The sequence below is a fragment of the Homo sapiens genome, chromosome 5 (genome assembly GCF_000001405.40).
Source record: "Homo sapiens chromosome 5, GRCh38.p14 Primary Assembly".
Classification (NCBI taxonomy): Eukaryota; Metazoa; Chordata; class Mammalia; order Primates; family Hominidae; genus Homo; species Homo sapiens.
The window spans coordinates 82349669-82363669 of record NC_000005.10 but is presented as its reverse complement, the minus strand read 5'-3'; the positions used below and the strand labels follow the sequence as shown (position 1 = coordinate 82363669).

Here is a 14001-nt window from a genome sequence, read left to right as displayed (position 1 = left end):
CCAAACAATGAGCAAATCATTCTATTATCTAACAGCTCTCATTGCTTAAATCACCCCTGTTAGCCCCTATTTGGTACCGGAGGGATGCAGCAGTTTGCTCCCTGTTCTACTTGACCTTCCTTTAAATATTTGAAACCAGATATCAGCTCACTAATCCACTTTCCCAGCTTGCTCTTGTCTAGCTAAACTGTCCCAAGGTCCTTCAACGGTTCCTTGTTTAAGTCGCTTTTCAGGCCTTTCACTACCCGGGTTCACTCCAGCTGTGTAGCAACTCTCCCCACAAAATGGAAATGCGATAGCTAGTACTGAAAAACTCCCTAAATGTAGTCTGACTATAGCAGGGCATAGTGGGACTACAGCCTCCTTATTACCAAAATCATTTCTAATTAAAAGGCATCCTTAATCCTTACAGCAGTTGCTTCACACTGGTCATTCATGTGGTGCCCACAGCCAACAAAAACCCTCAGCCTTTCTCCCACAGAAAGTAAGATCTTCCCCCCAGCACAAATGCACACTAAAGTTCTGGACTAAAATGAAGGATTTATTTACTTTAAACTTCATATTCTTATTTGATATGGTTTCTTAATTTTTCCTCACGATTGAGATCATCCAAACCTCAGGTCAAGATGGCCAAAAAGGTGAGGTCCACAGACAGCCCTGCAGCCTCCCTCCCAAGTGGCACCACCTGGAATTCAGTGCCCTTCACATATCCCTGTCCAACTGGCCACGAAGCCTCCTAGTTTCACTGTCACTCTGCTCGTGTACCTTCATCTTTCCCACAAGGACGTCATAAGAGACTCTATCAAACGTCTTCCTGAAATCCAGACACATTTTGTCTGTGGAATTTCCCCTCCCCAGCAGTCTCCCCACTCTATCAAAAAAGGAAGCAAAGTTCGTTGGGCATATCTTGTTTTTAAGCAAACCCACATTTCGTGAATCCATATTTATACATACCACCAGGCTCAAGGGGATGTTTATTTCAGAAAATGAAAGCTTTTCCAAGAAACCTAATTTTAAATAGAATAGAGAAATAACATTTTAGCTACATTTTTTCACTTGTAAAAGCACTTGAAAAAACATATATTTTCAGGTCCATCAATACCACCATGGGACTCAGCATTTATGATAGTATTTAAGTGATAGATGTCACTTAAATACTACATTTCCAAAATATAATTAAACTTTGACCACAACTGCATTAATCAGGATTGGAACTTTACCTGCATCATACTTTAACCAGAGAAGTAAATCTCACCAAGGCAATTTGATATCTGGATTGAGTTCTGTATTCAGAATACATTAAATTCCACCTTCTAAAACTTTCTGGACAATGACCAGAATGTCTGCCATTCTGGACAATGAGCTGCCATTGAAAGTCTTCGATATCATAGACAAAGATCCCATTGTGTAAGCATACTATACATAAATAAAACCAAAAAAAAAAAAGATGAGGACATTTTTTAAAGATATTATTTATCGAAAGTAGTGTACCATATATTTAGAATATGTCAGGATGTTCTGAGAGTTTAACAAATGTGAACTCACTTAATCCCTGAAACAACCCTTAGCGATAGTCACTTTTATTTTCTTCATTTTTAACAGAAGGGAAAATGAAGGCACAGACAGGTTAAATGACTTGCTCAAAGACACACAGCTAGAAGTGGCATGGAGCCTCAACAGTGAAAATTAAAAGTGTTATGGTAAAACGTGAACAAAAAAATTCATAGAGACTTTCCATGCTGTCGCTGGGCATTCTCAAAAATGTCTGAAATACTTTTACATTTCTCCTCACTTCAATTGGCAGTGTTATGTGTTTCTTCATGAAAGAATAAGTTTAAAAGGTAAGAGAATAAGATAAATACATTCTGCAATGTTAAAGGTCACACATGGCTGGCTTGAGTTTACCATTCTTGGGTCCTCGAGTTCAACTCACTGACTTCAATTCCTGATCCATGTGGTAGCTCCAATGTCTACTATTCTGCTGGGCTGGCCCTTGGTAGGTACTAAATAAATCTTTATTGAATTCAACTAAATTAATTTGTTACTGAGGCATTTCAGGCTGTGCCATATAAAGATATTAATAATAGCCCTAACATTTACCTCAAAATACTTTCCAAGTCTTGTTAGCTTACCCACTCATCTACAAAAGATTTACACTCACATTTCTATGAGTAGGATTTAGGAACTTAGCTCCATGAATTAGATTATACTTTTAAGAATTGTAAGAGTTAACAGTCACAAACCCCAATAGACTATTCTAACATGGCCATATTTTACACAAATTCGAAATAGTGTAACATGAAAAATTCATATAGTCTCTTCACACTCAAAATGTGAAGTAATGTAAGTGCCTCAAATTTAAATTCTTTCTGAGGATCAAAGAATTTTAAGGCTGGCAGGCCAAATGAACAGTAAAACTGAGTTCAGGATATGGCCTGAATTATGCAAGTTTGGAATTAAGCAGTCTTTAAGGCCACATCCTTTTCATAAATGCCACCAACCACAACACATCACCAAGGGACAACACAAAGGAAGCACTGCTGTGTAACAACTTGGTGGCTGAAGTCTTGGAGGCCAAACAGGCTCAGAAGCTTCAAGGCAAAGCAGCCGTCCTCAGCCTCTCAAAAATCTATGCGATCACAGAGACAAATGCTGAGACACCCAACAGGAAGATGAAAATTAAACTGAAGAGACCCATGACCAAATTGCACCCAAGCATCCAAATGTTGGTGGTGCTAGCCCTGAAACAGCGGGCTCCCAGGACTCAGAGAACAAGTTATCCATCTCCGCTCTCAAACTCTCTAGCCCTTATAGAACCATAGGCTCTCAGACTTCACCTGGATGAGAAACCACAGCTCTCCCAAAGCCTCATCATTTCAGGGTGAGAGATGCTGACAGATAAACAAATTATCAAATGACAAAGTGAGTTTAGCCTTTGTGCACTGGAAGTAATGGCTGGAAATGTTCATTACCAATTCCACAAAGACAGGCAAACATTCACACTGAGAGAGAGAGACAGAGAGAGAGATAGAGAAAGAGTGAGACAGAGAGAGAATGAGTAAGTCTATGGTTTCCCTTTCTCCACTGTATGCCCAGTGAAATTGTCCCTGGTATTTAAGAAAGCCAGGACAGAATGAAAACCTAAGAAAAAAAAAGGAATTGAGGTAAAGACCGGCGTGACAATGAAAGTAATGAAGGTGGAAGTCTTTTACAAGCACTTGTGAATCTGAAGCAAGAAGTAGCTTCTTTTCTTGGGTTTTATCCTTCTAGTGGCCGTCCTAATAGGGAAAAGCTAAAGCCAGTCACTTTTGGTGCCTGTATCAACCTTGTAAGACACACTAAATTCTCTCTGTAATGCATAACTGTCAGCCTCTCTCACTCATCTGGAGTGATTTTTCCAATTAAGCGTGACAGGCATTTCACTCAAGCCCCCTATTCTAACTCGGAGGCTGGGTCCTGAAGAATGAGACTTCAGTGGCTGCTGACACTTCTTTTGTCACACAATCCTCTCTAGACAAACAATATTGACTACAAATTTGTCAGGACTTTCTATGGCCATCAATCATGCCTGCCCTTTTGCCTACTTGTGCACTCCTGTATTTCCCCTCACTCCCATGCTTAAAACAAGACAAAATTAAACTCAAAAGTGCAACCCTCAAAGTTAGAATCAGCATAAATCCTGGAGTACCTGCAATTTGAATATTCATTTGGCACAACTAATGTACTCCTTACTCTAGAAATTAAAAGCTTTAAAATGATGTACTGCCTCAGAGAAATGGGCGCCAGAGTTTCATGTCAGAATGCTTTGGTGTTTGTTGTTTTTTGTGTTTGTGTGTGTGTGTATATGTGTGTGTTTTCATTCTTACATGAGTTCTCAGAAAGTACAGGCAGACAAAGGTCCAACTCGCAGGTCTCAAACTGCAATGCCTTCAAGGCTCATAGAGCAGAGATGGGGGCAGAGTTAAAAGCATTTGTTGCTGTAGAAATCGTTATTTATTATTAAGAAATAGGGGTGTAGAATGTCTTTTTCTTTTGGCAGAAGCCGAGGCCCTGAATCCTGCCTGTATGAATGACATGTAAGCTGTGGGCCTGTGATTCTTTTTTCTGTTCGTTTTTCTTCAGTTTGGCTTCATCTCAAGAAAAAAAAAAAAAAAAGTACACATCTTCCCCTACGAGAGAAAGGATGACTTACAGTACTGAGTGTGTGTGTGTGTGTGTATGTGTGTGTGTGTGTTGCCCTGAAGTAATGCCAGCATCCAGAACTGCAACCTTACCTTTTCAATCCTTAAGAACCAGAGACATAGTTGCTCCTGCTCAGCAAAGGCTACAGCCAGTTCCAAGAGCTCCATTAGGACTTGCATTAGGACCAGGCCACCACCACAGTGAGCTCCAAGGTGGGCTGGTCCACGTCTTGTGATCAAAATGACTGATACTAGCACCAGAGTGTCCATCATTATAGTTTCTTCTTTTGCTTCTTCAATGAGAAGGAATGGGGATTTTCAATTAAAGTTTTAAAATATCTTCTTTCTTCAAGGTCTTATCAGCCAACTTGTAAATTGTCTTTCAGCTCAGAGGACAGAAATTCATGGAAATAGGATGTAGGCATCCCTTTTATTTGTCTCCTCCTGCACCTCTGCCACTTGCAGGCACAAACTGTCCTCAAATGATGAAATATCAGCTATTTCCCAGCATCTTTGGGAGGTGCATATACTATTGCAATGCTGTGTTTGCAAGTTCATTATAATAAAAGTGAAATTCAAAATGAGTACATGTAAAGCAGAAATTCAGAGCCCCTCTAGTTAACACAGTCATTAATTTACCTTTCTTCTTTTTCTTGATTTATGAAACTGCTAGTTGCAAACTGATGTCAATTCAGAGCAGGAGCCAGGGTGGACAATGGATCTCAGCATCTGACTCTTTTGGAGCAGCTGTCTGAACCACAAGGAAAAATAATCAGGCCTGAAGCCAGTGGGAGAATCATCATAACAGACAATACAACCCATTTGTTTAATGAAGAAAGAGTTAGGCAACCTACTAGAAACCACAGGCCTGATCTACATTTTTCAAACTTACGACCATGTCTAGAAAAGTTGCTTAACTCTTCTGTGCTCCATTCTTCCAATGCTCAGAGCTCCATGAGACTCACCTGGAGCTCCCATGTGACTCGATGCCTGCTCCACCTCTCCACACCTGCACAACTATCAAAATAACCAGCAAGGAAAGCTTTATTTAAAAAATGAAGATTCCTTGCCTTCACCCCAGGTCACATCCAGGCCTATGAAATGGGAAATCTGCCTGATGGGGCATTTTAACCAGGAGAATCTAAATGAGCAACCGAATTTAGAAATCACTAGGCGGGAACAGAAAGAGCAAACGCACAATCCAAGAACCACTTCTCCTACCCCTTTGTCCATGACAGACATTAATAATCAACATGAGCACTCTTTCCCTCAGAACGCAGCCAAAGCTCAGGAGGTCCAGGCAGCCACTCCCAGTCAATGAGAGTGGCTGGCTCACAAATTGAAACCTTTCTGCCATCCCTGAGTGAGAACCCAGCAGTCCACCAGTACTGTGTGTTCAGTCGCACATTTCACCCAGCATCTAGAACAGCTCAACGTATAATCCTTTTAGGTTTACAAAATCTTTTCAAACACCTGATCTTCTTTGAGCATCCCAGAAACCTTGTGAAGTTAAAAGGGTATGTATTATTATACCCACTTGACAGATTAAGAAACTGGGGGTCACATTAGTTCTTAATCTTGCCCAGGGTCAGATCGCTGATGAAGAGTAAGGACAGAAAATCCACCCAGATCTCCTGTCTCCTAGACCAGCATTCTTCCTTCTGTAACAAGCTGGGCATGGAGTATTGAGGGCAACATTACCACCTGAGCTTAGCAAAAAACAGACCATACAGCAAACAGTACAGAAGGGGAAGGTGGGCCAAAGAGGTTTAGTAAATTGACCAAGGTCACAAAGCCTTAAAACCAGCAAGCAAGAACCCCAAGCAGGTCTGTCTGATGAATCTCTGTTCTGTGCTCTTCCTGTTTAGATGGTGTGTCCTCCCAGATCAGCACAGACTAGGAAAGGGCCTTTCCTCTCCTCTCCCTGAGTTCACTCTGACACACCCTGCTCGTCTGGCCCTCCTCCCAGACTATTTCCCTTGTTTCCGCTGGTGTCATCCTCTCAGCCACACTCACCTCTCCACCACCCACCCCCCTTTTTGACCCTGCAACTTCCTTCCAAATGCAGGAGGAAACCGCCCAGCTTACTCACAAGGGCCCCAGCCAACAGACTGCAGATAAGACAAGCACCTTGGCAGCGAGACGTGAATATAAAATTGCAAACAGCTTTTGAAGTTACAGATCCGTAATCTTCTAAGCCAAAGAAGAGGGGTTCGCCTCTTCCCCCCGTCATCTGAATCAACACTCCAAAGGACTGAACTGAGTCCAGCCAGCTTCGGATGTGATCTCACAAGCCCGCCTGCCACACATGCATTTCCAGCCTGTCGCCTGAGCAAAACCCCCACGAGGCTTGTCACCACTTAACACAGGGGACATGTTTCTACAGAAATCAAAGCAAAGAGATGTGTTTTGCTGCCCTTTCATGTGGTCAAATACATCCTGACTGACCCGGTTATGCCCTTAGTTGAAGAAACTAAACACTTTCAAGTTTAGAAGGGAAGATGCTCAGGGTTTCTGGAAGACGGGCTGACTCACCTCTACTGCATAGTTGCCTGTAACCTTGGCCAAGTTACTTAATCTTTTTCATCTCAATTTTTCCATCTGTAAAATGGGACTCTACCAATGGCACTTTCCTTTAAGATTCTTGTAATTATTAAAATAGTTGGTTCACATAAAAAATGTAGGGCAATGATACACAGTCAACCATAAATATTTACCATCACTGTCATTTTAAAACAGAAACAAAAGATTTGAGGACGTATCCACATGACCTTTGGAATTTAGATGCATCCCAACAGGTCCCTGTTGTATTTTAGGTTCACAGTAAACAGGTTTTGATGATCAAACCTAAAACTCTGATGTTTCTGTCATTATTATTTTCAATGGAATGATTTGCATAGAATTAACAAAGAATTAACAAAAATTACCAAAATTTCTTTTAGAATTAAGTCAGCATGAGATAACACTGCTTGCTGAGATTATACATACTTCCTTTAAGCTTCTATATAGGATACATTTCTCCAAATTTTCTACAAAAAAGCATGCATTATTTTATCATTGGAAAAATTAAAATAATAGCACATAATAAGATGAAGCACATTATGCCTCGTAATGTATAAACATGGATATCTACAGGAAATGGCAATCAAAGCATAAATGAGTCCACTAAGGTTGCATCATGGCTTTCCCTACTGGCCCAATCGGACATTTTTTTTGGAAAGTTTTAGAGACCTAAGTCTCCACATCCAAATGGAAATGAGCCCCAGATATTACTCATATATTATTGGCAGTACTTTCTGCCCAGAGAATGGCAAAACAAAGAAATTTTTTTGCAAATGGAGGCCACCACCTGGATTTGTGAATGCATGAGCCTCAGCCACACGAGGCCTGTTTAGGGTTGATCTGCCAACTGCACAAAGACACACATACACACACGCACACATGCACAGCCCAAACACTGAGTTTCATTTCCACTGCTTTGTTCCTATGGAGTACTGACAGATATTGGCAGATCCTATTTCACTTTTTTCTCCATGAACTCTGGGTATTTCAGCTTTTTTCTCCCAATTTAAATAGTTAAAAATGTGGCCCAGTAGGGGTACTTTTTCAATGGGTAAAATATTAATTCTTATAAGTCAAAATATGCTAGTGTCCTACAAGCATGCAGAGCAAAGTTTAAAAACTGATGTTAAAAACCCCACTTTGAAGTACATACTCAAAGATCAGGATCTGTAGGGAATCTAATCTGTTCTTAGGCTCTATCAGCTGGGTCATTTGGCATGGGACGAAAGCCCAAGGGACCTCATACGTTGGCTGCTGTTTGGTGGTAAATTCTGAGCTTCTCAGAAGCTGAGACATCTGAGCCAATTCCACATTTGGACACTTCTAATATATTTTTTAAAATGTGTTAAAATACTGCTACAAAAATTATGGTATTTTTCATACATTTATATTTAGCAAATAAATGTTTTTGTCCCAATAATAATTTTAATAACCATATGCACACCATGTTTTGGAGAAAGATTTTAAAGTTCAGCTTTGAGGCCCTTCTTCAATCTGAGGCCCAAGACAAATGGCCCTCTAACCCCACCCCTGTAATGAACCTGAGTAAACTCGAGCAGAAGACAGTATGAGGACCGCATTACTTCAAATGCTGATGTGAACTCAACTCCATCACCCTCCATCCTGGCAACAGTAAAGGAGTGGGAGATCAAAGGCCAGGATGAGGGACTTCAGATCAAGAGCTGCCCAGGACCCATGCAACCCTTGAGCCACATTTTCCAGAACTTGGATAGGCATTTGATGTCCAAAACGAGAAAACATATCCTGAAATAGCTTTCTCTGCTCTTGGAATATCAAGTTGTCAATAGCATTGTTCTGTTCTCCAACTTCCCCCCAACCCCACACCTAGGTTTTGCAATTTTCACCCATAACAAGTTGGTTCTAAGACCTCCAAATTCAAAGCCATCAAAGAAAGATATTGTTCCTCAAAAATTATGATGTATAATACTTGTGTTTCCAAAGCCCCTTTAGGGTGATCAAAAACAGATAATGATAGCAACCTATGTAAATATATGTCAACAGGATGCAAATATGATTCCAGGCTTTGGGCCTTATTGGGCATTCATTTAATGACTACACGGTACCAGGTCCCCTGAAGCATAGAAGCAGAAAAGCAAACCAAAGGCCTCTGGGATTCTAAGTCTTACTAGTAATGAAAGGGAGACGAGGAAAGTGATGCAAGAGCCTTCTGTGAGTGATGTCATGACAACCTCAACATCTCTTCCTCTGTTCAGGGAACATGAAGATGCTAACCTGGCAACTGTCAGTCTTAGCTTCCCACATTCTCCATAATCTGGTCTCACAATGCCTAATACATCTTGCATGTGACAAATGTCCACTGGCCTACATTAGTGCTTTGAAAATAAGTTAAAGCTTGGATTCAGAAAGCCTTTTCATTCTTTTTTAATTCTTGGTGGGTAAGTTTCCTACTTATAGTCTTCATATACGTTCAATTTTTTTTTTTTTTTTTGAGACAGTCTCTCGCTCTGTCACCAGACTGGAGTGCAGTGGCACGATCTCAGCTCACTGCAACCTCCAACTCCCTGGTTCAAGAATCTCTTGAACCAGGCACGCACCACCATGCCCAGCTAATTTTTGTATTTTTAGTAGAGACGGGGTTTCACCATGTTGTCCAGAAGGGTCTCGATCTCTTGACCTCATGATCCACCCGACTCAGCCTCCCAAAGTGCTGGGATTACAGGCGTGAGCCACCGCGCCCGGCCACGTTCAGTTATTTATTAATAGATGGGTCTACAGCAAGCTATATAACAGACATCCAAACATGTCTGTCATGTTGACTTCCCAGTTGTAAGAACATGTTCCCTGTTGTTTCACTTTGTGGTTTGGAGGTTTGAAAAAAAAAAAAGTTTCCAAAAAGAATATCAGAGTAAAGAAAATGCAGAAGGGTAGATAAATGTAATTTAAGAAAGTACAAGCATGATTCTCCAAGGAAAAAGGAGGATCTGGCATCAATTGAAGTCTATGCCCACCTAAAAGTAAAAAGCCAAATGGAGTTGTTCATTATAAATACATGTGTCTTTTTGCATAATGAAGAAATGAAATTTGCTCTCTCCACTCTCTCCATTGAGAGAACTGAATACAAATGCTATTTTGGGTCAGAGATAAAACAAACCCACAGCCCATTGCAGGAAGCCATCCTCAGCAGAAGAGATGGCCTCCTGAGAATACTGGACCCAGGAAGTTGGTGAGCTTTCGCGCCACCTCTCTGCTCAAAAGACAGTTTATTCTCTCCCCCTTGGTAGATACGCACTTCTAAATCTCAGCCACTCACCTAATTTTCTGTCTTGTAAGCAAGGCTTCAAAAGAAGGCTAGGTTACTGAGAGATGTGCACAATCCTTGAAAATTGCAGAAAGAAAGAACATATGCACTTTATAACATTCTCTTCAGTAGGGAATGTTCTGTGTTCCAGTAGTACCAACTTCAGGAGCTCCAGGATATCCACTGTGAAAACACAGGCAACCCTACTGGCCACTGGTCTTCCTTTGACCAGATAAGAGGTCACTCCTTTGGAATGGGTTATACCAGTAGGCTCTAGCCACATTGCCTTACATATACTCTACCCTTCAACCCTGTGGTAAGCACCTTTTAAAAGAGCTAAAAGCAATTAAAAAATATACCAAAGGCATCAAGGTGAATTATCAGACTACTGTCCCCTGATGAAAAATAATAACAACAACAGATGATGGCTTTCAAACAAGCTGAGAAAATGGACTTTATTTTTCTAGAAGTATTTCTTTATTTTTTTCCTAGTCCCAATGCACTTCGTACTTCTCTATTTATCATGCACTTCGTACTTCTCTATTTATCATGCACTTCGTAACTGCCTCAACATATCTGGCCCTTCTATCAACTGACGAACTTCTTGAGAACCCTGCCCTATTCTTCCTATTCATCCTCATATTTATAGAGCCTTCAGTGTAAGAGGAAATTAATAGACTCTCAATAAATGTTTGATGGACAGATAAATGTAGGAAAAATTAATGTACATCAGAGTGCAACAGGAACTAATATCCAAAATCCTTGAGATAAAAATGAAAGACCATCAAAGTAAAAATTTCCGATAGCTAATCATCCAAACATTAAAAGAGGACTTCATTGTTCTCCAGATGTCATCAGTGATTCATTACAAATAATTACATGCGTGTTCTAAATAATGGAATGTTGAAATGTACACTTGTCATCACCGGCACTATCAAACATGTTGGACACGCCCAAAATAGCTACAGTCCATATGACCAGGAAGAGAGTCACATCAAGGACTCCAGAGGTGATAATATCAGTGTCCCAGTAAAGTCTGGAAGTCATCGTCTTGAACAGGAAGCCTTAAGGAAGTTGAGGGCAGTTTGTTCACTTGACCCCAGAGTTGGGTTACACACCCACAGCACTTACTGAGGGGCAGGAAGTTGGAAGAGGACCTGGGGTCAGACCTCTGCAATGGTGTGAAGTAGATGAAGTTTGTCTTCACCTCCTCTTTCATTGCCCTCCTCATCTCCCCACCAACCCTGATCTGTCATCCTTCGTAATCACAATGGCAAAGGCCCAACGGAGTCACTCATACTATCGTATAAATAACTCATTATGATTGTATAAATTAGGCTTCCACAGCATTTGCCTTTTTAGTAGAAGCAGTGCTGTTATTCTGTGTAATAGCAGAATTTCTACCATCAAAATAGCAAGGGACATATTTGAGGGATGATGGTCAGTGCCAGCTTGAAGTTGAGTAGGCAGCTACCCACTGAAGCAGCTATATGCATTTTTTAATTTTTAGAAATTTAAGATTCAGGCCTTGGATCTCTTGTGACTATGTGACTGACTATTCATGTTGGAAAAATAAACATTTCCACCTCCTAGAGTGGCTGATAGCAAGAGGGTATGAGGCTTCAGATGTTGATCCGTGATTCTCTAGAGACCTCTAGTGGTCAGAAGAGGAACTCACATTTGTTATGAACAGAAAGATGAGGGAATGCTGACCGGTGAAAAATGAAGGCCTACAATCTGGTGATTGCCATTAAAGAAACATTTGGAACTTTCAGTAATGGAAGGTTTGAGTCATTTACTTTTCCATCTACTTTTTCTCTCTCTCCTTTCTCTTCTGTATCCATGCTACAATCTCATTTGCCTTAATGCCTTGGAAGGCACTTGTCCTTACTGTCCTTATTATCCATTTTCATTGCTTTATCTGGGTCGTCCACACAAAGAAACCAACTTGCCCTTCACAGGATCCATATTTCCCTCATGCAATCCATGGGCTCCTACATCTTCCTTCACCCTTGGCAGCTCTTGGTCTTGTTACTCATACCTACATGTGCTCCCAGATAAGTACAGGAATAGGCTTATCTTCACCCTTATTCTGCCAGGAGAGTGTTTCTTATTCTGCCATTGAGATGGACTGTCCCAAGGGATTAAATTTTAAGAGGTGGATTACAGTTACTGCTGGTTTGTTGGTTCGCTGTGAAGCTCAGGAAACAGAAACAGCCAAGTTTCCAAGATATATATTTAACAGGAGAAGAGTCAAAAAAAAGATTTAAAATGCCAAACTTTACAGGAAATTCAGAGACAACCCTTCCCAACAAATAAAAATCATCCCCACAGATTTGTGGTAGAAGCAATATAAGTAACTATGTTAGCCTGAAGCCTTTATAGGTAGACTTTTCAGCTGCTCTCTTTTGTTTACCTATCCCAATTTTTATTATACAACTACTAAAATTATATAGATATATACATCATATATTAAGATATATACTCACCAACGTGTAAAAGAAGGGCATTCTTCTAAAATTAGATTGCAGCTCTTCCTGGCTTTGAAGTAATCACACCCCAGTAATAGAAAGAGGTAGAACATATCAACAGGAATGGGGTGTGGGCTGCCAGTTCATCATCTGTCAATCTTACCTGAGATCCTGCTTTGCCTTAAGATTCAATTCCAAGACCATGAATAGATGTTTATGATTTTTTTTAATGCCCACTGCGGATGAAGCCTTTCTTCCTTTTTCTGAGAGGTCTGAATTTGAGAGACAGCGTGGGTCAGGCCAATGATAGAAGCAACAGACCCCAAAGGACCTCCTCAATCTGGACCCACACTTAGACAGTGTCTTCTCAGTTACAGGAGCATAGGACTTCCTATAACCCTATCAAATTAATGATTGGTCCAAAAAATCAACAGAAACATAGTTATAAATGGCTAATTAATAGGGAGTTGTGTCCTAGTAGTTTATGGCCTCGGAGAGCTTTTTAAGCAAAGGGTTAAGTGGGGGGGAAAAGGAGCAGGAAACCAACCTTACTTTGGTTGGCTCCCTTAGCTCACCTCAACTTGGAAAGAGCAGAGCCGAGTGAACAACATTTGACAATATTTCTGTGGCATTATCAAAATCCAGGGCCATAATCTTGATATAAAAGCAAGCTAGTTTCTCTGACACGAGTATTTGGTTATAACAGGGTGAGGTTCATTATTAAAAACCACCCATTTGTTAATCACTAAAATATTCATTGAATGCCTAATATATGAAGGCTATCACACTGAGTTTGCAAAAAATTTTGGTTTTATACTGCTTCCATTTTCCAAAACCATAAGAATGTGTTTATGTGTAGAAAATAAAAATTTAATGGTATTTGAAGAGCTGATACCATAATCCCTCTTAGGAAAGAAACCTTTCTTTGGCTACAGTGCTGTGGGAGAAAGTGAGCCCCTGAAGGTCTGAGGGTCGTAAGAACAAAATAGTAAGGCAAGGGCTGTGCTGTTCTCCCACTTCTCCACGGGAGGACATGAGAGGCCTCCGGTGTTGCTCCAGGGTGAAGGAGGAGAAGGAGAGAGATGAAGAGCCAAACAAGTGAGGCAGCGTGAGGATGGGAAGTATGTACGGCCAGGAAGTCAAGGAAGAATCCAAAAGTGGTGAGCTGACTGACTTTTAAGGAAAAAAGGTGGTCAAAAATAAGGATTGCTTTAAAAACAAGAACTGAAGAGTCAGCAAGGCTCGGATCTCTGCAGCAAAGCCTCCCCTAACTCTCCACCATCCACCCAGTGCCCCTCTCAGTCCAGAGAGTGGCGCCACCTACAGGGTTGTTCCCAGAGACCATTGCTTCTGACTCATTGCTCCAAACCCTTTCAGGCCCTGCCAACCCAGCCCATGCCAATTGCTCAAGTCTTTAGAAATGCATAAAAGAAATAAGCAATTTGGTAAATTAGTAAATTCTTCTAATTCAGCAAATTGGTCACTCGACAATTGTCAAATTGGTTTT

General features: G+C 40.8%; 2 annotated features.

Annotated features, from left to right (window-relative positions):
* Positions 5884-7083: an enhancer, noted in NCBI's record as "P300/CBP strongly-dependent group 1 enhancer chr5:81652406-81653605 (GRCh37/hg19 assembly coordinates)". NCBI's record gives its function as "activates an origin of replication core promoter dependent on BRD2, BRD4, P300/CBP, MED14 and CDK7 cofactors, with strong dependence on P300/CBP, by STARR-seq in HCT116 cells {active_cell/tissue: HCT116}" and the evidence as "EXISTENCE:reporter gene assay evidence [ECO:0000049][PMID:35650434]".
* Positions 10177-11376: an enhancer, noted in NCBI's record as "P300/CBP strongly-dependent group 1 enhancer chr5:81648113-81649312 (GRCh37/hg19 assembly coordinates)". NCBI's record gives its function as "activates an origin of replication core promoter dependent on BRD2, BRD4, P300/CBP, MED14 and CDK7 cofactors, with strong dependence on P300/CBP, by STARR-seq in HCT116 cells {active_cell/tissue: HCT116}" and the evidence as "EXISTENCE:reporter gene assay evidence [ECO:0000049][PMID:35650434]".